The sequence below is a fragment of the Homo sapiens genome, chromosome 6 (assembly GCF_000001405.40).
Source record: "Homo sapiens chromosome 6, GRCh38.p14 Primary Assembly".
NCBI classification, from domain to species: Eukaryota; Metazoa; Chordata; class Mammalia; order Primates; family Hominidae; genus Homo; species Homo sapiens.
Genome location: NC_000006.12, coordinates 9,845,503 through 9,872,744, shown reverse-complemented (window position 1 = coordinate 9,872,744; position 27,242 = coordinate 9,845,503). Strand labels below are relative to the sequence as shown.

Genomic DNA, 27,242 nt, shown 5'->3' with positions numbered 1-27,242 from the left:
ACTTTTTAATGATCGCCATTCTAAAATCATTGTGGTTTTGATTTGCATTTCTTTGATGGCCAGTGATGATGAGCATTTTTTCATGTGTTTTTTGGCTGCATAAATGTCTTCTTTTGAGAAGTGTCTGTTCATATCCCTCGTCCACTTTTTCATGCGGTTGTTTGTTTTTTTCTTGTAAGTTTGTTTGAGTTCTTTGTAGATTCTGGATATTAGCCCTTTGTCAAATGAGTAGATTGCAAAAATTTTCTCCCATTCTATAGGTTGCCTGTTCACTCTGATGGTAGTTTCTTTTGCTGTGCAGAAGCTCTTTAGTTTAATGAGATCCCATTTGTCAATTTTGGCTTTTGTTGCCATTGCTTTTGGTGTTTTAGACATGAGGTTCTTGCCCATGCCTGTGTCCTGAATGGTATTGCCTAGGTTTTCTTCCAGGGTTTTTATGGTTTTAGGTCTAAGATTTAAGTCTTTAATCCATCTTGAATTAATTTTTGTATAAGGTGTAGGGAAGGGATCCAGTTTCAGCTTTCTACATATGGCTAGCCAGTTTTCCCAGCACCATTTATCAAATAGGGAATCATTTCCCCTTTTCCTGTTTTTGTCAGGTTTGTCAAAGATCAGATGGTTGTAGATGTGTGGTATTATTTCTGAGGGCTCTGTTCTGTTCCATTGGTCTATATCTCTGTTTTGGTACCAGTACTATGCTGTTTTGGTTACTGTAGCCTTGTAGTATAGTTTGAAGTCAGGTAGCGTGATGCTTCCAGCTTCGTTCTTTTGGCTGAGGATTGACTTGGCGATGTAGGCTCTTTTTTGGTTCCATATGAACTTTAAAGTAGTTTTTTCCAATTCTGTGAAGAAAGTCATTGGTAGCTTGATGGGGATGGCATTGAGTCTATAAATTACCTTGGGCAGTATGGCCATTTTCACGATACTGATTTTTCCTATCCATGAGCATGGAATGTTCTTCTATTTGTTTGTGTCCTCTTTTATTTCGTTGAGCAGAGGTTTGTAGTTCTCCCTGAAGAGGTCCTTCACATCCCTTGTAAGTTGGATTCCTAGGTATTTTATTCTCTTTGAAGCCATTGTGAATTGGAGTTCACTCATAATTTGGCTCTCTGTTTGTCTGTTATTGGTGTGTAAGAATGCTTGTGATTTTTGCACATTGATTTTGTATCCTGGGACCTTGCTGAAGTTGCTTGTCACCTTAAGGAGATTTCAGGCTGAGACGATGGGTTTTTCTAAATATACAATCATGTCATCTGCAAACAATTTGACTTCCTCTTTTCCTAATTGAATACCCTTTATTTCTTTCTCCTGCCTGATTTCCCTGGCCAGAACTTCCAACACTATGTTGAACAGGAGTGGTGAGAGAGGGCATCCCTGTGTTGTGCCAGTTTTCAAAGGGAATGCTTCCAGTTTTTGCCCATTCAGTATGATGTTGGCTGTGGGTCTGTCATAAATAGCTCTTATTATTTTGAGATACGTCCCATCAATACCTAATTTATTGAGAGTTTTTAGCATGAAGAGCTGTTGAATTTTGTCAAAGGCCTTTTCTGCATCTACTGAGATATTCTTATACATATTGAAGACCTCTTCCTGTCTTATAATAATAGTTAATACTTCTGTAGAACTTACTATGTGCCAGGCATTGTTTTAAGTGCTTTATGTTTAGTAATGTATTTAATTCTCACAAAGATTTGAGATGTTATGCAAAAAGTACTATCCTGCCAAGAACAGGAATTCCTAAACTCATATATATTTAGAATGTACTAATTGTAAATGAGATGACAATATAAGATCTACAATATATGAGGCAGGAGTTTAGATTTAATTGACAGGAAATTGCAAACATAATATAGAGAAGCCCTGATTATCTTTACCTCATATTGATTTATTTTTTAAAAATTATCACTGGAGTGGTTATTTCCTCAAGATCCTTTCCTATGGTTGGCTAAATTTATTCAGTATATCTTTAGGACTCTTACAGAGTGGAATATGTTTATGAAAGTTTTGGAATTTATTGTCATTCTTCCATTGTAAGTTTTCTTTAATAGGTTCTTAACATTGGCCCACCAATAATTATCTCAAGAAAACCAACAACAATTTTCTCCAAGGACTTTTTTTGAATAATTAGGGAAACTCTTAAATATGAAAAAGGATTATAAAATATAGAAAACAAATTAATGCTGCCAGAGTAATCAAGACAGTGTGATATTGGTGAAATAATACACAAACTGATCAATGAAACAGAATAGGGAGCCTAAAAATAGATCCACACAAATATAGTCAATTGATTTTTTTGACAAAGGAGCAGAGGCAATGCAGTGAAAGAAATATATATATTTTTTAGCAAATGGTGGTAAGACAACTGGACACCATCCACATGCAAAAAACAGAAAAATGAACCTAGACACAGACTTTGGGCTCATCTCCAAAATTAACTGAAGAATGCATTATAAACATAAATGTAAAACACAAAACTATAACTCTTCTGGAAGATAAAATTGGAGAAAATCTAGATGACCTTAAGTATGATGATGATTTTTGAGACACAACACCAAAGGCGCAGTCTATGAAACAAATAACTGCTAAACTGGACTTCATTGAAACAAAATCTGCTCTGCAAAAGACTCAAGAGAATGAGAAGACAAGCCACAGACTGGGAGAAAATATTTGCACAAGGTATATCTGATGAAGGACTGTTATCCAAAACATAAAAAGAACTCTTAAAACTCAACAATAAGAAAACAAATAACCAGATGGGTATGTGAAAAGATGTTCAATATCATACGTCATTAGGGAATTGCAAATTAAAACAACACTGAAATACCACCATACACCTATTAGAATGGTGAAAATCCAATATAACACTGACAATACCAAATGCTGGTGAGGGTGAGAAGCAACAGGAAGTGTCATTTATTGCTGGTAGGCATTCAAAATGGTACAGCTACTTTGGAAGATATGTTGGCAATTTCTTACAAATTAAACATACTCTTATCATATGATAGAGCTATTATACTGCTTGGTATTTATTTAAATGAATTAAACATTTATGTTTATAGAAAAACTTCAGCATAGATGTTTATAGCAGCTTTATTCAAAAGTGCCAAAACTTGGAGGCAATCGGGATGCCCATTAATAGGTGAATGGACAAATAAGCTGTGGTATAATATTAATGCATCAAGACAGTGGAATATTATTTAGCACTGAAAAAATTTAATATAAAAAATCTACATAATTTATGATTCCAATTATATGACAGTCCAGAAAAGGCAAAACGATGGAGACAGTAAAGAGATCAGTGTTTGCCAGGGGTTGGGGGAGAGGGAGGAATGAACAGGTGGAGCACAGATGATTTTTCAGTGCAGTGAAAGTACTTTGAATAATACTGTGTTGGGTATGGGTTATTATACATTTGTTCATATCCATAGAATGTACAACCCCAAGAATGGACACTGTAATGTAGACTATGGACATTGAGTGATAATGATGTGTCAGTGTAGGCTCATTAACCTTAACAAATGTACCACTCTGGTGTAGAATGTTGATAGTGGGGAATGCTGAGGGGCAGGGATTGGTAGGGACTATATGGGAACTCCCTGTATTATCTGTTCAATTTTTCTATGAAACTAAAACTGCTCTAAAATATATAATAAAGTCTTTAAAAAACGTAAGTACGGTTTTCGGTTTTACATTTAAGCCTTTAATCCACCTTGAGTTAATTTTTGTATAATGTGTAAGGAAGGGGTCCAGTTTCAGTTTTCTGCATATGGCTAGCCAGTTTTCCCAGCACCATTTGTTGAATATGGAATCCTTTCCCCATTGCTTGTTTTTGTCAGGTTTGCCCAAGATCAGGACATAGGCATGGGCAAAGACTTCATGACTAAAACACCAAAAGCAATTGCAACAAAAGCCAAAATTGACAAACGTGATCTAATTAAACTAACTGAGCTTCTGCACAGCAAAAGAAACTAGCATCCGAGTGAACAGGCAACCTACAGAAAGGGAGAAAATTTTTGTAATCTATCCGTCTGACAAAGGTCTAATATCCAGAATCTACAAAGAACTCAAACAAATTTAGAAGAAAAAAATGAACAACCCCATCAAAAAGTGGATAAAGGATATGAACAGACCCTTCTCCAAAGAAGACATTTATGCAGCCAACAAATTCATGAAAAAAAGCTCATCATCACTGATCACTAGAGAAACGCAAATCAAAACCAGAATGAGATACCATCTCATGCCAGTCAGAATGGTGATTATTAAAAAGTCAGGAAACAATAGATGCTAGCGAGGCTGTGGGGAAATAATAATGTTTTTACACTGTTGATGGGAGTGTAAATTAGTTCAACCATTGTGGAAGATAGTGTGGCGATTCCTCAAGGATCTAGAACCAGAAATACCATTTGACCCAGCAATCCCATTACTGGGTTTACACCCAAAGGATTATAAATCATTCTAGTATAAAAACACATGCACACGTGTGTATACTGCAGCACTATTTACAATAGCAAAGACTTGGAACCAACCCAAATGCCTATCAATGAGAGACTGGATAAAGAAAATGTGGCACATATATTCCGTGGAATACTATGCAGGCATGAAAAAGAATGAGATCATGTCCTTTACAGGGACATGGATGAAGTTGGAAGCCATCATTCTCAGCAAACTAACACTGGAATAGAAAATCAAGTAGCGCATATTCTCACTCATAAGTGGGAGTTGAAGAATGAGAACACATGAATGCGGGGAGGGGAAAAACACAACGGGGCCTATGTGTGGGGGGTGTGGGGACAAGGGGAGGGAATGCGGGGATGTGGGGCTTATGCGGGGCTTAAAACCATGCTGATGTCACGCCTGTAATCTTAGCACTTTGGGAGGCCAAGGCGGGCGGATCACGAGGTCAGGAGATCGAGACCATCCTGGACAACATGGTGAAACCCCATCTCTACTAAAATACAAAAGCTAGCCAGGTGTGGTGGTGGCCACCTGTAATCCCAGCTATTTCAGAGGCTGAGGCAGGAGAATCGCTTGAACCTGAGAGGCGGAGGTTGCAGTGAGCCGAGATCGCACCCCTGCACTCCAGCCTGGTGACAGAGCAAGACTCTGTCTCAAAAACAAACCAACCAACCAAACCAAACCAAACCAAACCTAGATGATGGGTTGATAGGTGCAGCAAACCACCATGGCACACGTATGCCTATGTAACAAACCTGCACATTCTGCACATGTATCCTGGAACTTAAAGTAAAATTTAAAAAATTTAAAAAAAATCCCCCCATAAGTACTAAATTTTGAGGTGTGATAACAATATTATGGCTTTGAAGAAAATGCCTCCTTTATAAGAGATGGATACTGAAATATTTCATGGTTAAATGTTAAAGTCTGTGATTTATTTGAAGCTTTTTCAGCTTTTTAATATCTATCTATCTATAGCACAAATATGGTCAAGTTTAATTATTACATTTAGATAATGAGTATATAGTGATATCATTATATAATTCTCTCGTATTTTTAAATGTTTGGTCTTGCTCACAATTACAAGTAAACATAAACACTTTTGTTTTGATTACCATATATTAATTTATTTTCGAATATCTGTCAGGTTAGACCATCTAATTCTCCAGGGCTCACTGTTGACAGAACATTAGAATTACCTGGGGATGAATTAAGTCCATTTCTGAGGGGGACAGATAAGTGGGACCTGGCCATCAGTAATTTTTAGAAGCTCCAATACACATCAAGAATTGAGAACCACTGCTCTAGTGCCTCTATTCCTGGTTTCTAGAAGTTTTTTTTTAAAATGATGTAATGAACGGCTTTTTAAGGCATCTGCAGGCTCAAAACAATAATTATCAGCCATTTTCTCATCATAATGCAAACAGTGCTGTGAGAGTCTCTGCTTCTCAAACTCTGAGGAGTCATAAAAAATTCTCACTGACAAGATTATATACGAGAGGTAGATAGATAAACCATAATATTTAATTTACTTGAGCTTAAATGTATTGAGTAACTATCATGTGCCAGACATTGGGACAGGAATTTTCATGTCACTTCATTAATTTTTTTTGCATGAAACCATGGGAGGTGGATATAATGATCCTGCCATTTCAGATGAAGAAATTGAAGCTTAGAGGTTGTTATTCTCTCCTGATATTTCACCTGGAATCCCCAGGTGCCCCTTACCTCTTTCCTGGATTCCTCAGAGTTTCACTTATCCCATTTGTATTAGTCCATTTTCACGCTGCTGATAAAGACATACTGGAGACTGGGCAATTTACAAAAGAAAGAGGTTTATTGGACTTATAGTTCCACATGGCTCAGGAGGTCTCACAATCATGGCAGAAGGCAAGGAGGAGCAAGTCACATCTTATGTGAATAGCAGCAGGCAGAGAGCTTGTGCAGAGAAACTCTTGTTTTTTTAAACCATCAGATCTCACGAGACCCATTCACTATCACGACAGCAGCAGGGGAAAGACCCACCCCCATGATTCAGTCATCTCCCACCCTCTATCTCCCACAACACGTGGGAATTATAGGAGCTACAAGATGAGATTCAGTGAGGCCACAGAGCCAAACCATATCTCCATTCTTTGACCCTGTAGCATTTTGTTCTAGGGGGTCACACATGAATACTCTTTCCAATATTTTATCTGTGGATTCTTTCATTCCTCACAGTTTTCCTTTAGGGTCATTAAAACTTAAGTCTCACATCTGAGAGAATTGACTAAACTAGATTTAAGCAGCATGCCATTCAAATTATTTTTTAAAAAGCAATTTTCTACTGTAGATTTAGAAACCAACTGATCTCTTGTAGCTAGCATAATTTCCGATTAACTAATTTAATCTGTGCAAAATTACATAAGCAAACCTGAAACAAGTCTTCATCAATTTTTTGCCCTTGGATGAAACATAATATTTTCAAAAATGAACCAAATAGAGTAATTAGCCCCTAGGCAGAGCAAATGACTCTAATAGCCATCTTCCACACATTCCTTTGGTGGAAAGCCAGAAAATGAAAATAAAAAGGTAGCAGCTCATGAGTTAAAGCTTTGCATGTGTCCTATTAAGTAAAGATTTGGTATATTTATACTCAGTGTTACCTTACAGAAGGTGAAAAAAGTTGATATCTTCCCTTCAGGCTGCCAAAAGCTCTCTTTTGATGGACCATATGATTTCCAGCAGTGCTTAGCTGCCAATTACATGGATAAATATCTTATTTTTCAGTTCTTTAGTTAATTTAGTGTTTATTTGGTTTCAATTCCATTATTTGTGGCAGCATAAAATCACAAGTAAAATATTCTAATTGTAGTTGGTGCGAGTCAACCTTTTTATATTTTGAAAAGTAAACATGATCTAGGGGATGAAAACTCTACCTCCAGGGGTTAAGAGATCTGAGTTCTGGGTCCCAAAGCTCTGAGGAACTGCATGTTACTTGGGCAAAATATGCAAGCAATCTGAGCTTTGGCCTTCACATTTGCATAGAGGGCAGAATTTGATCATTACTAAGATTCTTTTCAGTTCTAAAATTTCAATGATACTACCTTATACTTAAATACAATCATTATTAAAAACATAGCAGGTAACCCCCAAATCTATATTATGGGTAATATAATTATTTCTTGGTGTGGATTTCTTTCTTTTGGGTTAATTATCCTTTACATCAGTATTTCTTAAATTTTTTGAGCATTAAAACCACCTAACATGCATGTTAAGGTGCGGGAACAGGCTTTCTTGCACTGTTAATAGATGGTCGCTATTGCACTGATTCTCCCCTTGTAAGAGGGTCCTGCCAGTGTAGGAGTGACACAATGGTCAATTTAAAAATATTAGGGGAGTATAGGTTGAACAGCCTTGTAGATGACTCTGAAATGGCTCTTTGGTGGTGGCCGAAAGAGTTGTTGGAAGGGAATTTGGCTCTTTCTGTGGTCAGGGACCAATGATTTAAATACTATGATTATATCTATGAAGCACTGTATAATTAATTAAAGTTATTTTGACTCAATGTATATATTATATTGTAAAACATTTATAGAGAGAAAAGAAAAGCAAGGAATATTTTCCAATGGAAGAAGTATCCCTGATCCTGAAACAAATTCAGCCTTTCTTACTCTGTTTCATAACTCTCCACCACTTTTCGAATTCCCCATTTTCCTCATGTGCCATTCTAAACCAGTTGTTACTTCTTTTTTGTTTTATTTTCCTTTTTTTTGAGATGCAGTCTTATTCTGTATCCCTGGCTGGAGTGCAGTGGCATGATCTTGACTCACTGCAATCTCCATCTCCTGGATTCAAGCAATTCTCCTGCTTCAGCCTCCCGAGTAGCTGGGATTACAGGCACATGCCACCACACCTGGCTAATTTTTGAATTTTTAGTAGAGACTGGGTTTCACCACGCTGGCCAGGCTGGTCTTGAAATCCTGACAGGTGATCCACCCACCTCGGCCTCCCAAAGTGCTGGGATTACAGGTGGGAGCCACCGCACCTGGCCCATTCTTTTTTTCTTATCTTCATAATATTTTCAGTAACTTTAAAAAACTGTTTTGGTTTTGTATATTGTCTATTCATTTTCTATTTAATTAATTTCTGCCCTTGTCTTCATTATTTGCTGTTGTGCCACTTGGTGGATGTACAGTAGAAACCTGCCACCCAGATTTACTTCAGATATTGAGACTGCGTGATGCCACATACACACACCAACGGGTATGAAAACGTTTATTATTCACATAATAAGGCTTTCTGGGGAGAGAGGACAGGCTCACAAGCACATCCAAAAATGGCTTGAGAGAGAAGGAAGGTGATGTGGTTTAGATTTGTGTCCCTGCCCAAATCTCATGTCAAGTTGTAATCCCCAATGTTGGTGGGAGGCGACTGGATCATAGGGGCAGACTTCTCCCTTGCTGTTCTCCTGATAGTGAATGAGTTCTCACAAGATCTGGTTGTTTAAAAGTGTGTGGCACCTCCCCCCACTCTCTTCCTCCTGCTCCAGCCATGTAAGGCATGCCTCCTTCCTTTTTGCCTTCTGCCATGATTATAAGTTTTCTGAGGCTTCCCCAGCCATGCTTCCTGTACAGCTATGAAACAATGAGCAAATCAAACCTCTTTTCTTTATAAATTACCCAATCTCAGGTAGTTCTTTATTGCAATGCAAGAATGAACTAATACAGAAAATTGGTAGTTAGGAGTAGGGCATTGCAATACCTATACCTGAAAATGTGGAAGCAACTTTGGAACTGGGCAGAAGCTGGACCAGTTTGGAGGACTCAGAAGACAACAGGGTGAGGGAAAGTTTGGAACTTCATAGTGACCTGATAAACTGTTGTGATCAAAGTGCTGATAGTGATATGGATAATGAAATTCAGGCTGAGGAGGTCTCAGATGGAGTTGAGGAACTTACTACAAACTGGAGCCAGGTCACATTTGTTACATGTGAAAAAAGAGATCTGAAACTGGAACATATATGTAAAAGGAAAGCAGAGTGTAAAAGTTTGGAAAATTTGCAGCCCAGCCAAGTGGTAGAAAAGAAAAGTCCATTTTCTGGGGAGTATTCAAGGTGGCTACAGAAATTTGCCTATGTAAAGAGGAGCCAAATGTTGATAGTCAATGTAATGAGGAAAATGCCTCTAAGGCTTTTAAGAGACTTTTGTGGCAACCCCTCATATCACAAGCCTGGAGGCCTAGGAGAGAAAAATGGTTTTGTGGGCTAGGGCCAGGACCTTGCTGCTGTGGCAACCTGAGGACATGTCACCCCGCATTGAGGCTGCTTCAGCTCCAGGTGTGGCTAAAAAGGGCCAAGGTACAGCTCAGGCTGTTGCTTCAGAGGGTGTAAGCCATAAGTCTTGGGACCATCATGTAGTGTTAAGCCTGCAGGTGTGCAGAGTGAAAGCCTCCATCTAGACTTCAGAGGCTGTGTGAAAATGCCTGGATGTCCAGGCAGAAGTCTGCTGCATGGATGGAGCCCTCATGGAGAACCTCAACTAGGGCAGTGCAGAGGGGAAATGTGATGTTGGAGCTCCCACATAGACTCCTGTCTGTGGCACTGCTTAGTGGAGCTGTAAGAAGAAGGCCACTGTCCTCCAGACCCCAGAATGGTAAACCCATAAACAGTTTGCATCGTGCACCTGGAAAAGCCACAAGCACTCAATGCCAGGCCATGAAAGCAGCTGTGGGGGATGTACCCTGCAAAGTCACAGAGGTGGAGCAGCTCAAGGTGTTGGGAGCCCACCCCTTGCATCAGTGTTGCCTGGATGTGAGGCATGGAGTCAAAGGAGATTATTTTGGATCTTTAAGATTTAATGACAGCCCTCCTGGGTTTTGGGTTTGCATGGGGCCTGTATTTCTCCCTTTGGATTGGGAGTATTTAGTCAATGCCAGTATTTTGGAAGTAACTATCTTGGTTTTGATTTTACAGGCTCACAGGTGAAAGGGACTTGTCTGGTCTCAGATGAGACTTTGGAATTAGACTTTTAAGTTAATGCTGAAATGAGTTAAGACTGGGGGACTGTTAAGAAGGGTTGATTGTGTTTTGCAATGTGAGAAGGACATGAGATTTGGGAAGGGGCAGGGCAGAATGATATGGTTTGGCTTTGTGTCCCCACCCAAATCTCGTGTTGAATTGTAATCCCCAATGTTGGAGGAGGGGCCTGCTGGAAAGTGATTCGATTATGGGGGCAGTCTTCACCCTTGGTGCTATTCTCATGATAGTGAGTAAATTCTCACAAGATCTGGTTGTTTAGTGATTTGTAGCACTTCCCCCTTCTCTCTTCCTCCTGCTCCAGCCATGGAAGACATGCCTTCTTCCTTTTCACCTTCCACCATGATTGTAAGTTTCCTGAGGCCTCCCCAGTCATGCTTCCTGTACAGCCTGTGGAACTGTGTGAGCCAATTAAATCTTATTTCTTTATAAATTACCCAGTCTCAGGTAGTTCTTTATAGCAATATGAGAACAGACTAATACAGAAAAGGAGACTGGATTGGCTTTTTTTGTAAGTAGGGAGTGGAGTTTGGGTAAAATTTTCCATGTGTGACAAGTGCTTGCATAATTTGAACTTCCCACTGGCCCCAAGGGAGGGGATGCCTGGGGTTTCTTATTGTCTTGCCCACCTGAGGCGTAACAGGGGAGAAAAAAGGGGTAGGCTTGAAAGCTTTCAGCAGTCAAACATCAAAAACAGAGTAAGACTCTTTCTTACACTTGTCTTCTGCTTACTTTGAAATTAATTTGCTTTATTTTAAAAAATATTCAAGGTAGAAACATATGACACTGATTTTATATCCCTCTCTATCCCCAATGTAGATTTTAAAACTATATTTTTTCTTCTAAGTACTTATTTTTCTATTAATTTAGACATGTTATGCTTTAATTATCATTTACTTTATTGTATTGTAAATTTCTTTTTTGACCTGTGGGTTTTTGAGAGATATGCTCTTGAATTTCCAAATATACGGGGAATTTTACTAGATATCTTTTTGTTGTTTATTTCTAGTTTACTACAGTTGGGATCAGAGAATATACTCTGTATTATATTATTTATTTGAAATTTATTAGAACTTGTTTTAAGGCCCATTATACAGTCTATCAGTATCTTATTTCATGATCTATGTGCACTTTTACTTTTGGAATGTTCATTTGGCTCTTTTCTGTAAGTTTCATTATCTGCTTATGAAGGTTGTTTACCTTTTTCAACATGGTCTTTTAACTTATTTTTCATAGTTATTTTAATGTTCTTATCTGATAATTTCAGCATCTTATTTATCTCTGAGTCTGGTTCTATTGATTGCTTCCTATCTTGACAATATATCACATTTTCTTGGTTCTTTTCATCTGTAACTTTTAAAATTGAAGGTTGAAATACTAAGTGAACAATAGAAACTGAAATAAAAAATATGTTCGCCACAAAAAGGTATATCCCTTCATCTGCCATGTTATTAGTGGCAAATTTGTTTCAATCTATAAGCATTCGATCACCTGTTTCTGGGTTTTATTGTTACATTAGGTAGATTCAACTCACCACTCTCCTCAAAATATCTGATGCCGAGATCAAAACCTTCCCTTGAGTGGAGCTTGTGATTTCAGTGCCTAGAAGGTTTGTCTCAGTTTTCCTGCCCTAATCCTTCAGCAGTTTCTGTGTATTTGCAATGTAGGGTAAGTGATCTCTCTTAGAATTTCTGTCTCTTCCCCAATCACTCAGTATAGGATCCAGAATATACTGTGATATTTCTCATTCTCCTGCTCTGCCCTTAGTATTTAGTAGGTCCTGTGCTTTGTGCCTTGGGCATGGGTAGTTTCTCTTAGCTTTCTTGCCCTGCACCTAATCTTTCTTATGAGCACTTAGCAAAGGCTCATAGAAAATAACTGGTGGATAGGTGAAGACTCTTTCTCCTCCTTCTCTTCCTTCTCCTTCTCTTCCTCCTCCTCTTCTTCTTCCTCTCCTTTTTTCTTTTTCTTTTTCTTTCTTTTTTTTTTTTTGAGATGGAGTATCACTCTTGTTGCCCAGGCTGAAGCTCAGTGGCAGGATCTCAGCTCACTGCAACCTCTGCCTTGCGGTTTCAAGCGATTCTCCTGCCTCAGCCTCTAGAGTAGCTGGGATTACAGGTGCACGCCCAGCTAATTTTTGTATTTTTAGTAGAAATGGGGTTTCACTATGTTGGCCAGGCTGGTCTCAAACACCTGACCTCATGATCCACCCACCTCAGCCTCCCAAAGTGCTGGGATTACAGGTGTGAGACACCGCACCTGGCTGCCACTGCCACCTCCTCCTCCTCCTTCTCCTTCTTCTCCTCCTCCCCTTCTCCTCCTCCTTCTTCATCCTCCTCCTCCTCGTCCTTCCGTCCTTCTCCTCCTCCTTCTTTTCCTGCTCCTCCTCCTTCTCATCCTTCTCTTTCTCCTCTTCCTCCTCCTTCTTCCCCATTTTTCTCTTCTTCTTCTTCTTTTGTATGGAGGATCTTGAGCTTATAAATCTTCATGCCAGCCCATTCCTAGCCTTAGAAAATCAGATAGATATTCAGTTGTATCCTTCTCACAATTTCTACCTGCTTCTACTGCTCTGTCAAGGATGGAAGCAGCTGTGGATTTCTTTTCTCCTAAGAGAGAATTATCATTTCTGGATTTTTATCTATGTTTCTTTATGGCCTCAGCTCTCAAATAGGCTTTTAAAAACCCATGATTTTGTAGGTTGTCTAGTATTCTTTTATTTTTGGTGTGACAGAAACATTTTCTTGGGACTTTTTCTGTCTTAAGTAGCAGTGAAAGTCTCCCTTGCCTGTATCTTCAAATTGTCCTTCTCATTGGATTTTTTTCTTTACCATACTTTTATTCCAATTCATCCTTAATTTGAAAAGAAAGAAACAAAAACAATGACAACTCTTTCTTGGCCATGCAGTCTTTTCTCTCTATGACCATAAATCTTTATCCTTCCTCCAGCATCCCCACCATACTTCATAAGCAAGCTAGAAAGAATAGTATCCCCTTGCATTCTCCATTTCTTTCTCTCTTAGTCTTTTCTCAACACATTGGTATTTAGTTTCTACTATGGTGACCTCCGATACTGTTCCTGTTTTTATGACCTCCAATTGCCAAATTAATCACTTTTCAGTGTGTATTTTATTTGACCTATCGCCTTAAAAATTAGACATGTTCTACTTTTCTAAAACTGTTTTATTACTTGGTTTTATTGCTTCTCTTATATTTATAGGTCCTTCTTTTCCATCTATCTTTAAAATGTCATTTTTCATGGAACTCTTTCTTTTCATGCTCTATACATTTACTACAGGTCATCTCATCCACATTCAAGAGCTTCAACTTTCAACTAAAGACAAAGTTTATATCTCCAACCAAGATCTCTGCCCTGCCCTCCAGGGCTGCATATTAAACTACCTTCAAGATACCACCACTGGATCTTTCTCTTTTTCTTTCCTCCTTCCACCTCAAACTTTCTCTTCTTGAGTTCTTTATAGCATTGAAAATTACACCATTATCTATGTGGTTATCCAAACTTAGAAACCTCCAGGTCAGATGGCATCTAAGTCATCCTCAATTTCTACTTTTTCTTAACCAAATCAACACTAGTCCTATTCATTCAGCTCCTATGCATTTCTCTAATCTCACTCTTCCTCTCCATCCCCTTGCCACATCTCTAAATTTCTAGCCCCACCACATCTCACTGTGGCTATACTTTCCCTGCCATCTCTTTGCAGTGTGCTCAGTCCTCCACACTGCTGCTAGAAAATCTTTCTAAAGTGGACATTTGACCAGGCTGCTCCTTTGACTAAAACCTATAGTTGTTTACCCTTCATCTATAGTGCTTAGCACATAAGAAATGCTCAATATTTTTGAAAGAATGATAGGTAAACATTAAAACTACGTAGAAATACATTCAAGGCATTTTGTTCTCTAATCCTTCTCGACTTTTCTAATTTGACCTCCTACTTTTCTGCCTTTTGCCCTTCATACTCTAGCCACTATCCAATCTATAATTTTATAGATATTCCTAGAGTTTTAGGAGTAAATCTTTTTTTTTTTTTCTCGAGATGGAGTCTCACTCTGTCACCCAGCCTGGAGAGCAGTGGTGCCATTTTGGCTCACTGCAACCTCTGTCTCCCAGATTCAAGTGATTCTTCTGCCTCAGCCTCCAGAGTAGCTAGGATTACAGGTGTGCACCACTGTGTCCAGCTAAATTTTTTTTTTTTTTTGTAGAGATGGAGTTTCACTATGTTGGCCAGGCTGGTCTTGAACTCCTGACCTCAAATGATCCACCTGCCTTGGCCTCTCAAAGTGCTGGAATTATAGGCATGAACCACCATGCCCGGCTGGAATAAGTCTTATTGACATTGACATATTGTTCCTTTTTTTCTGAATTGGTTTCCTTGATTATTTTCTACAGTAAAACTCAAATAGTTATTCCCTTTGGTTCTAAGTTACCTTTGTAGAAACCTCCACTTTAGCTATTATCTGTTTTGCCTATAGATTAGTCTCCCATAAATAACACACTCCTAAAAGGGGAACTTTGTCTTTTCTATTCACTATCTAAGAACCTAGCAGTGTCTGGCATGTAATAAAAACTCAAAAAAGTAGAAAGAAAGGAGTGTGAGTTCAAATCAGGGTATGATATCCTAAATCAGGAACTTGTTGTGGCATAATAAAGCCTGTGGAGGTGGCCTATTTATTATTATTAAGGAGACTTTTCTTTGATTGGAAGGAAATCATTTAAGATTGAAGACATATTTAGGAGAGCTGTGATGGAAGGCTGTTGACAGAAAAATAATTTTTCTATTTTTAATTTCTGTTTCCATTGTGAAAGAGGTAATGAATTAAAAAAAGTTACAGAAAAGTAGTTGGAGGCTTTTCTTTTTGAGCCTAGCTATATGGTGAGGGTTGAGTAAAAACAGGAAGAAATCTCGTAGTCTATCATTAATGTAGTTCAGGCAGCAGGAGGAAGCTTTGCTGATTTGAAGAGTTCGCCAGAAGAGTTCAGACAGTCTAGGCCAGATCAACACCTGGAGGTAGTGTAGGTAAAAGAAAATGTAGAGAATTCTAAGAGTAGAGAAAAAAGTCAAGGACGTGTCAGCAACAGCACAGCAGCAGTGGACTTGATGAGATAAGGTGCTTTTTACACTTCCTTAAATTTTGCTTTATTTTATATCTTTATGCACTTATGAGACATATAGTGTAACTAGAACACGCTATTATTGGCTTTGTTATTTTAGTAATGAGTTAATTTTTTAAAATTTAAAAATACTTTATTACTAAACAATGCTAATGATCATCTGAGCCTTCAGCAAGTGGTCATCTTTTTGCTAGTGTAGGGTTGTCTCAAGGTTACAGCTGCTGACTGATCACAGTGGTGGTTGCAAAGGCTGAGGTGGCTGTGGCAATTTCTTAAGATAAGGCAACAATCACTTGCCACGTTAAATGACTCTTCTTTTCACAAAAGATTTTTCTGTAGCATATGGTGCTATTTTACTGCATTTTACCCACAGTACAACTTCTTTCAAAATTGGAATCATCAGCCTGGCGCGGTGGCTCACGCCTGTAGTCCCTGCACTTTGGGAGGCCAAGGCAGGTGGATCACCTGAGGTCAGCAGTTCAAGACCAGCCTGGCCAATATGATGAAACCCCGTCTCTACTAAAAATACAAAAAATTAGCTGGGCGTGGTGGTGCATGCCCATAATCCCAGCTACTCAGGAGGCTGAGGCAGGAGAATCGCTTGAACCCGGGAAGCGGAGGTTGCAGTGGGCCGAGATCGTGCCACAGCACTCCAGCCTGGGCAACAAGAGCAAAACTCCACCAAAAAAATAAAATAAAATAATCAAAGTTGCTGAATTGCTGCAATCTCATGGTCAAACTTGAATGGATAAGGAGTTGCTTCTTAGGAATGAGCAAAGAATAGTTTCTTGAGATCGAATCTACTCCCGATGAAGATTCTGTGAACATTGTTGAAATGATAACAAAACATTTAGAATATTACATAAATTGAGTTAATGAGTTAATTTTAAAATGAAACATGTATACAGATGAGTTGTGAATTTTAGCTCTTGTGTGACCTATTGGGCTGGATGAGTATTATTGTTTCATCTTTATTCATTCTCAGTATACCACCTTGTGTGGCTAAGACAGCAGAGGCACTACAGATTTGGTTCCTAGAAGGGAATATTTGGTCTTAGGAGGCTGCCCTAATATTTCTAGATCTGAGACGGATGTGAACTCACAAGGAAAATAAGAAAGCAATTGTTCAATTATTTTTTAGATAAAATAATTGAAGACATTAAAGCCTATTGTTTCCAAAAATGTAAACCAGACAAATGGACTTTCTGCCATGTAATGAGAACATGAAAAAAAAAATTACCAAGTTTTAAAATAGCATACTCTACTTGATTGGGAATCCTGCTACATTATGTTCCAATTGTGTGATCTCAAGCAAACTCACCCCTCTGGAGTTCAGTATTTATATCTATAAAATAACAGGAATGATACCTGCCTTTCTTATGTCACAAAAATGTTAAAGACAAATTTGAGTCTGTGGTTTTACATCAAATGGGATTATCATATATGGAGTTGAAACCAAAAGAATGCATTACAGTGCATTTTACATGCTAATTTTGCTTTAATACCTTCATTTGAGTTTATTCAAATACACCTGCCCAAGTATGTAAAGTCTGAGGAAATGTGAGGGTTGATGGGAAAACAGAAGACTGTATAATAAATTAATGGGTAGCCCTTCATAATTACGTAAATTGGAATAAAACCTCATTCAATGTCCTAGAGAAACATTAATTAAGAAGTGGAAACTAAAGTTTGACGGACAGTCAAAAATATGTAGTACATTTTGGAATATATTTTCTTTTTATGAAATGAGTGGTGAAAGCTTAAAATTAGGTATGTAAAACCAGGGAGAAATGATAAAGCAGAAATACAATAAGGTCAGAGATACAGAACTAAGGCATACTATTGCATCCAGTGTTGACTTATTTTTTTATAGGGTGGATGCCCCATGTAATGATTGCCTTCCTGAAGTTAAGAGAAATTATAACATTAGAGTCATCCAGGACCTTTTGAAATTCTCCTCAGGGCCAGTTTCGGTCGGCTTATTTTTCTCAAGTTTATATTCCATCTTTGCTTAGTACCCATTGCATTGTCAAATGGTAGACAGACAATGAAATTGTAAATGAATGAACAAATGAATGCTTTAGGTTGCTAAAATTCACATGTGATTTCCTTATTCTCATTTATGTTTCAAATATCCTGTACTTCCATCATGTTGTTAGCTTACGTTGCATAAACTTGATTGTATAGTTGCATTATAGCGTCAATGAGCTATGTATTTTAGTGTGGTATTTTTGGTGGCAAATATCATTCTTCCATTTCCATGTTTAGCACTCCCTTTAGGATCTCTCATAAGGCAGGTCTAGCGGCAAGAAATTCCCTTAATGTTCGATTGCCTGAAAAGCAATTTACTTCTTTGCTTAAGAGTGTTTGGTGGGCTATAATTCTTTTCTGGAATTTATTCTCTGTAAGGATGCTATAAATGGGCCCCCAGATCTCTTCTGGCTTGTAAGGTTTCTGCTGAAAGGTCTACTGTTTGCCTGATTGGGTTCTCTTTGTAAATAACCTGTCCCTTCTCTCTGGCTGCTTTAAAGATCTTTTCCTTTCATATTGATCTTGGAGAATCTGATGACAATGTGTCTTGAGGATGGTCATCTTACGTAGTATCTCACAAGGGTTCTCTGAGTTTATTGAATTTGCATGTCAACCTCTCCAGCAAAATTGGTAAAATGAAGTCAAGTTATTAGTTTCCACGCACTTCTATAGATTTTTTTTAGTTTTTAAAGCTTTATGTGTACATAGTAGGTGTATATGTTTATAGAGTATGTGAGATATTTTGATACAGGCATGCAATGTGTAATAACCACAACAGGGTAAATGGGATATCCATCACCTCAAGCTTTGTGTAAATTTTGACAGTTCCTCTTAGTATTGATTTCTAATTTTACTCTACTATGGCCTGGGAAGATACTGGAGATGCTTTTGATATTTTTTTAAAATTTAATGAGCATTGTTTTATGGCTAAGCATATGATTAATTTGGAGAATGTTCCACATGCAGATGAGAAAAGTGTGTATTCTGGAGTTGTTGGTTAGAATGTTCAGTAAATGTCTACTAGGTCTAGAGTCCAGTTGAAGTCCAGAGTTTCCTTGTTGACTTTTTGTTGCACACTGTGAAGTGGAGTGTTAAAGTCCCCTACTAGTGCTTCAGTGCCAATCTCTTTTCTTAGGTCTAGTAGTATTTGTTTTATGAATTTCAGTGATTGTTGTTGGGTGCATATATATTTAAGATATTTAAATCTTATCATATTGAACCCTTTATCACTATATAATGCCCTTCTTTATCTTTTTTTTTTAACTGTTGTTGGTTTAAAGTCTGTTTTTATCTGATGTAAAAATAGCTATTTCTGCTTGCTTTTGTTTTCCATTTGTGTGATGTATCTTTTTCCACCTCTTTACTTTGAATTTGTAAATGTCTGTTGTAGGCAGTAGATGGTTGGATCTTGTTTTTTGATCCAATTTGCTAGCCTGCATCTTTTAAGTGCAGTTTTTGGACTATTTATGTTCAACATGAATATTGATATGTGAGACTTTGTTTCTTTCACAGTATTGTTAGTGAGTTTCCTTGGAGTCTCAATTTTGTAACTGTTTTATAGGATTTGTGATATGTCTATTTACATGTGCTTTTTCTTCATGGTGAGTATCATCGTTTCATTTTTTTGTTTAAAACTCCTTTGAGCATTTCTTACAGAGCTGGTCTAGTGGTGATGAATTCTATCATCTTTTGCTTGTCTGAGAAAAAGTTTATTTCTCCTTATTTATGAAGGTTAGTTTGGTGGGATGTAAAATTCTTGGCCGGCAGTTTTTCTCCTTAACAAGGCTAAAAATAGGCCCCCATCCTTTTCTGGCTTGTAAGGTTTCTGCTGAGAAGTTCACTGTTGGTCTTGTGAGATTCTCTTTATAGATTATTTGACACTTATGTCTAGCTGCCTTTAAGATTTGCTCTTTTATTTTGACCTTGGATAGCCTGATGTCTATATGCCTTGGTGATGTTCATTTTGTATAGTGTCTTAAAGTATTCTCTGAATTTCTTGTTTCTGGGTGTCTACATCTGTAGTACAATCAGGGAAATTTTTCTGAATTATTATCTCAAACATGTTTTCCAAGTTGGTTTCTTTTTCTTCTTTTCCTCAGGAATGCCTATAAGTCACATTTGGTTGCTCTCAATAATCTCATATTTCTTAAAAGCTTTGTTTTTCTTTCGACATTCTTTTTTCTTTATTTTATCTGTCTGGGTTAATTAGAAAGACTGTTCTTCAAGCTCTGAAATTCTTTTTTCTGGTTGGTATAATCTATTATTAAAGCTTTCAACTGTGTTTTGAAATTCCTTCAGTAAATTTTTCATTTCCAGAAATTGTGTTGTGTTTTTTAAAAAACATATCCAGCTTGTCTTTCAATTCCTGGTTTATTTTGGTGTTCCTTTGTATTACTTTTTAACTTTCTCTAGGATTTTACTGAACTTCTTTGCAATTTGTATCTTGAATTTTTTGCCTGTCATTTCAACGTTTTCATTTTGGTTAGGATCCATTGCTAGAGAGCTAGAGTGGCACTTTGGGGATGCCACAACATTTCGTTTCTTCATGGTGCTGGAGTTCTTGTTCTGGTTCCTTCTCTATATGTCAGTTCTTACTTTTGGATTTACTTACATTTGGGTGGGATTTTTTTTCTTCTCCTCTTGAGGCTATTACTGCTCCATCTGTTGCATAGGGTCTTTTGGTTTTGCTTCTATGTGCTTTTAGCAGGCTAAGGCACTGTATGAATTCCTTGGTTATAGACATCCTTAGTACAGTGGTTTTCTCAAGTATGTGTGGTCAGGCTTACTGTCTCCTATAGCAGTGGGTAGGTGGAGGTCTCAAGAGACTTATCTCATTCCCCAGCGGTGTTCACTTCTGTCAGCAGAAATTAAATTTGGTTGGGCAGTTCAACCTTCAGGCCAGGAGGTGGCACTTGCAGGTAAGAGCTGGCTGAGCGCTGTACAGTGATGTCAGCAGAAGTTGTGGTGAGTCATGCAGTTTGGCATCCATGCCATTAAGTGGGGCCTGTAGGTGAGATGCAGTTGCGGTGATGACTGGGATTTTTACTTGGCCTTTGTTGATGAGAGCAATACCAGGGTGTCCCTGGCAATGGACGAGACATGGGGCTCTCAGGGTTCTCGTTCTGCACTCTGCTGCCAAGGAGCTGGAGGGGGCAAAGCTAGGCAGGGCTAGCTAGGTGGAGCTGGATTGTGCAAGCCCATTACCAGGCTCTCTGAGTGCTGCACCCTTGAGGGGTTGTCGGGGAAGTCCTCAGGTCACTGGGACAACCCTCCAGGGAGGGATTGAGGCACTCCTTCTGCACCTGTCATGGAAAGAGGGGTGGCCATGGTTTTCAGCTCAGAAGGTAGGGGCCATAGGGCCTGTTCAGCTCTGCTCTGACACCTCTGCGCAGGTGGGTCTCTGTCACTGGCAACAGGCCTGACTTGTTAGGCTAGTTCCAAGCCGTCTGCACCCAGATCACCACACCGTCCCAAGCATCCCAGACCTCAAGGCTTCCTGTGGCAGAAACTGCAGCTTTCAGGCCACATCCTTCCTAGTCCAGTTTTGTGAAGGGAGCACCACTACACACTCTTCACTGTGCTTTGTCAGTGGGAGCTCCTCCCCACCTGGAGACAGTTCACAAATCTCTTCCCCATACCCACAGGTGGTGTGATTGGGTCCTGGGAAACTGGGACTGTGCCAGTAGTTTGTCCTTTGGCTCCTCAGGGTCAAACATTGGCTGTGATTTGGAGAGTAAATTCCTCCCAGGCTGCCAACAAACCACCCAGGCAGTGTGATGGAGGCTATGCCATGGGGACCGCATACCTCTCCTCCTCTGGGAATGACCAGACAGGCAGTCTGGTGAGGGCCTGGCAGGCATGGGGGCATGCAGTTCAGATGCACCTAGGTCCCACTGCAATGGCAGCCAGGCCTGTCTTGGGTGGGTGATCATCCCAGTCCCCACTCTCTCCCAGCTGGACAGACAGCAAGAGCTGCAGTCACCCAGGGCAGGATGCAGAGCCTTGGAGAGTAGGTGCCCAGACTCACCTTTTGCTGCAGTTGCCTCGCACCCTGAAGCCTTTTGGGTTCTCAGGGGTTCAAGTAATACCTCTACATATTCTCCAGGTAATTCCCTCTGCCAGTCCAAAGGTCTGCAGGTTGTGGGAACACCTGTAACTAGGATCTCAGGAGTCTGTGGCAGGAATGTGGTATCCTGAGGTTCCTTCACTTGCTCCTTTATTGGGTCCAGTCTGGGTCTGGGGTCTGGTCCTGATGCCAGGCAGCACCAAGCAGGCAGTGCTGCTTCCTCCTTTTTCAACCACAGTGTCTACTGTCTCCTCTCTATTACATTTCAGTGTTCTCTCTCAAAAGATCTATTGGAAGTGTGAAGGAACTCCATATTTTCCTCTCCGTGGAAGAAGCAAATTCCAGCTTTATCTACGCAGCTTTAATTCTGATACATATTATCAAATTGCTTGTAGCTGTTTTAAATTAAGGCATTGCTGGAGGTTTTTAGAACTTAGAAAAAAGTCCTGAAGTTTGCAATTCTTACCTTGTCCTGAGACTTTCTCCAGTCAATAACACTCTATTTTAGACAAACTTTCTTTCGGTTAACCTCTTATCAAAAGCTATTGACAATTAGAACTTTTCCTTTTCCTTCTCCAGGCCAGACTCCAAACATCTAGGAATGAAAAATGCCCATGGGCATAAGTGTCCTGAACATTCTTATGGATTTGGGTAAACATACTTCCTTTCATCTGGTGGGAATGCAACTATTTAAGTTTTTCCAAGGCTTTATTGCAATTTATTCTTTAGCTTGATGCTTATCAGATTAACTCTTCAATCTAAGTTACTGTATGAGTGTTGTTAACCATATAACACAGAGGCTATATTTAACGAGAATTATTTCATAAGGTTTCACCCTTCAAAGGAAAAAATCTAGTCTTGCCTGTGATATAAACTTTGGATTTTTATTTCAATCATGTATACACATTTTCAATCATTGTAGTAGTTATTAATTATACCACATGTGTATCCTTGATATATATTGGATTGCTAAGTATAAAATTTCCTATTACCTGTGTACTTAAATGTGTGATTTTTTTGAAAATGGAGAGAAAATTAACATATTTAAATGAAAAAATAAAAAAGTTTAAATGACAAAGGAGAGCATTTCTACATAGAAATTCAGAATCTCATATATTGTTATACAATATTTTACTGAAATATGTTGTTTACATTGCTTAGTAGCATGGTTCATGCATGTTTTTAGTTTTAACAAGAAAATTAAAGAATTGACATTGAATTCAAAGACAATTTTAATATTGCTGTTTTGATATTTACTGAGGCTTAATAAATTTGATAGGAATTCCAACAAAGAGATAATTTTCCATATAGGGTTAGGTTATTTTTATTTCTAAATAAGTAATTGCAGTGTGGGAATGATTTCCTGTATGTTTGCACACAAACCATTGTTTTTGAATAGAGTTGGTTCAAATTATCTAAAATATAATCAGAATATGAAACTCAGAACTCATTAATATAGGGGTTAGGTACAGTGCTCTGGAGGTCAGCTCTCTAGGCCTGAGGTCCCCTTGCTTTTGCCATTTCCTTGCTTGTAAAATGGAGACAATAATAGTATCTACCTGAAAGGTTAATGTGAGGATTCTGTGGATTGGTGCATATAAAGTCCTTAGATTAATACCTGGCACATTAGAGGTAGTCAGTGAATATTTGCTAGAATTATGTCCTTTATTTTTTTCCTTCTCCCCTATACTAGCCATTACCACAAGCAAGAAGATCATGAGTATGAATATTAATATCCAAGTGAAATATTCAATAGTAGATAAAATGAAAAATAGCAACCACCCAGTTTGTAGAACTTAATCTGTTCTTTGATGACTTTTGCTGCTTGTCCAAAAGAGAGTTAAGGAAACAAAAATAGGATTTATAGCTATTTATGGGAAAATGACAAAACATTTGGAGGGATTGTTTTGTCTCTTTTGAAGAAAGAAGCCTCTGGAACAATCTTGCACTCTCCGTGTCATTTCTTCATATTGCTGTTAGAAAAGGTGATCCAGGCTGGAGAAATCTAGACAGGTAATTTTGGAAAACAATATTTAACTTCTTCAGTGATAGCCAGGAATCTTTTGAATTTTGTTTGAATGTTACATGAATAAGTAGAACATTACTATCTTAATTTCTGGTTGATCAACAATATTTACTGGTAATTTTTGCCAAATTGTTTTCTTTGTATTCCCCAGTTACAGTCAACCATCACTTATTTAGATTGATAGGATCTGGTGGAAAGTTCAGGCTGCAAAGTATTCCAAAGTAAATTTTTATATAACAAAAGAATTACTTTTATATAAAAGCAGAACTATGACTAAAGCTGCATGAAATAATTATTACATAGTAAAGTTTGTGATAAAATCTTCCTTAATGAAGAGATACATTTTAGTTAGTTCACTAAGAATTGATGCTTCTCAAATACTTGAGAAGATTTGCACATAGTTGGCTTGGTGAAGGAGTTCATTCTCTTTGTAAAGCATGCTTGCTCTGTTTGATCCTTTTTGGAAAATGGTACAAAGGGAAATGACATAAGATTTAATAAGATTTTACCATCTAGCCCTTTCTATTTGTTTCCAAAGGGCCATATACATCCACTGATTTAACCTTTAATTGTTTTCACAAGGGGACTTTTTATGACCTAGTCATAGAAAATATAGGGGGGTCAAGTAAGTGAAAAAAAAACCACAAAAAACCTGTTACCCTGTGAATGTATGTTCTAGGAAGGCAATAAATGACTACATGAAAGACCAGTCACACTGAGTAAGAGCTGAATCACAGAGAGTCAACTCTAGTTTCTACCACGTACTGTAACCTTGGGCAAATGCCTTAAGGTCTGTAAGCCTCCATACTTATGTATGAAATAATTATGACACTAAAGCATATACATCATTGGGTTTTTGTGGGGATTAAATAATGTAACACAGACAAACAAATAAATAATATAATGCATACAAATGTGCTTAGAGGTGTCTTACAGAGTGATTTCATTAATTTCCAACACCTAATTCTTGCTGGTGATAGCCAAAGGCTCTGATCTTTCCTCCTAGAACCTTGTGTCTCATTCCTACTTACCACTTCATTTGAGTATCTCAAAAACACCTCAAATTTAACACGTCCAATTGGGGTGCTTAAATTTTGCCTCTCAAAACCCTGTTCATTACTTACCCTATCTTTCCCATCTCAGAAAATGTGTTAGCCCTTTTTTGTGGATATGTGTAGAGCCTTCTATTCGACCTATTTCATCTTTTGCTGTGGAGTAGTAAGCTGTCATCCTGTGAGTAAACTGTAGAGAGGCCCACGTGATAAGGAACCAAAGCCTCTAGCCAATAGTAAACCACAAACTGAGGCCTTCCAACAAACACGTGTCTCAGCCAGGAAACAGATTCTGCCGCCTCATTTGACCCCTGACCTGGCTTCCCACCCAGCTAATAGCTTGATTGCAGATTCATGAGAGACCCTGAGCCAGGAAAACACAGCTAAGTGGCTTTTGAATTTCTGACCTCCAGAAATTGTGTAAGATAGTAAACATTTGTTGTTTTAACTGTCTAGTTTTTGGAGAAATGTGTTATAAAGTGATAAATTACTAATGCAGATTTTGGTACCTGGAGGTGGAGTGTTACCATAACAGAACCTGAAACATGAGGGTGACATTGAAGCTGCACAGTGGGTTTTGAGGAGAGTGTTAGGCTTCTAGTACTTGAAGAAGATATGTCTAGAAACCTTATGGTCTTCAAGAAATGGCGTGAGGGCTTGTAAGAAAGTGAGGAAAATCTCAATGGGAAACGGAAGAGGGGAAATCTTTTTATGGAGTGTCAGAGTGTTTAGCAACACTGCTGTTTGCAGTTATGTGAAAAGTAGAAAATGTGCCTAATAAACCAGATGATCTAGCTAGAGAGATCCCTGACCACAGAATCTCAAGTGCTGCCTGGTTTCTTCTTGAGGCTTATAGCAAAATGTGAGAGAAGAGAGAGAAACTGAAGAAAGGACTGATAAAATGAGTCATGACTTTACAGTTTTAAGAATTCTCAGCCTCCCAAGATAGCGAACAATGCTCAAAGGAAGAAATGGCTTCTGAGCAAAGATCACATGCCAGGAAAATATGGTTCATGGATGAAGCTGAGAGCAGCACAGTCAAATCTTTTAAGACCTCAGAAATATCAAAGGTGGTGCCTCAGAATTGTATTCACTGAGACTCTAGTCACTCTACAGAGATGAAGGGTTGCCTCACAGTTCCTCCTCAATCAAGCAGTAGGATTTCTAGGGACCTTAAGGGCATTGACCTTCATCCTGTTGGTGGGAGCCCCAAGACTTGTCTTCTTTTGAAAAGATTTATAAATTTGACTTTTGTCTAATATAGTAGACTCCAATAAGATTCATAGGAGACCCACAAAATTTTTAAAAGAATTATACAAGCAGAAAAATCATGTATTTGGACTAAAAGGGACACAGAGAAAACAAGATGAAAAGAGGTCTTTGGACCTTTAAATTCTATGGCAGAAAGCAGGTTAAGAAAATGACTTAGCTTCAAAGATGTGTTACCTTTCATGAAAAAAGAAAGATTCAGATGACAGAACCAAGAGTACAGAAGGTAGACTCAAGAGCTGTAGAGAATTATTCTCAGGCCTTGAGTCTTCATCAAAGAACCTTTGACATTTCCTTGTCTGGATTTCATAACTGCTATGAACCAGTGATCTCAGTCTGCTGTTATTCACAACTTTGTATCGCTCCCTCTTATGTTGAACCAGCATTGAACTGTGTGACCAAAGTACACAGCAGATTTCATGGTGTGTCATTTTGACATTAGGTTATTGAAGACTGCTGCTTCCATGTTGAGTGCATGCTCTCTCTCTCTCTGTACTCCCACCCCCATCATTCACTTTTACTGAATATGTTGATATTTGCTTGTATGTAACCCTACAGGATTATTATTAATAGTATTAGTAATAGTTTTATGCATTATAGTATGCATAGTGCAAGTTTATGCCTGTTATCCTAGCATACATAATTGTTTCTTCCCCTTTCCCCCAAATGCCCTGGATTGAATAATAAATTATATGAATAAAATTATTATTAACATCTCTAGCATCTTACACATCTAGCCATATGTCCATTTACATGATCTAAAACCATACCACTGTGGAATGTGTATGTGAATGTGAGAAAGAGAGAGGAAAATAAAAGTAGGAAAAGACAGAGAAAGCTGTCCTGGGATCTAAGTATTTATCATATTTTTGTTATGTTTTTTACTATTCCCTCTGCCTTTCTGGCTGAAAAGTAATTAGGTAAGTAAGAAAAATCAGATACTATAATAAGTTGAGTGTTAAAGGTATAATTCCCATATTCTTATTTGGCTCTGGGAAGCTTAATTTTGAGGGTCAGCATAGCTGGTATCAGAAAATCCAACTTTTACATAGATGTTTCAAGTGTGTTTTGAATCCATTTAATTTTATATCTATTTTCTTTCATGCAGGATTTGAAATTCGAAGGGGAAGGCCTCAACGAATACATTCCTATGTCACTTTTAAAGACTGGTAAAACATTTGAGAAGTATGTCCCTTAAT

General features: G+C 38.3%; 1 pseudogene across 1 annotated transcript in view; it reads left to right on the top strand.

Annotated features, from left to right (window-relative positions):
* OFCC1 (orofacial cleft 1 candidate 1 (pseudogene)) overlaps nt 1-27,242 on the top strand; it is a 506,631-nt pseudogene that overhangs the window by 338,864 nt on the left and 140,525 nt on the right. The window contains exon 7 of the transcript NR_170155.1: nt 27,152-27,228. The product of NR_170155.1 is annotated as an orofacial cleft 1 candidate 1 (pseudogene) (transcript). The remainder of the gene's footprint in view (nt 1-27,151; nt 27,229-27,242) is intronic.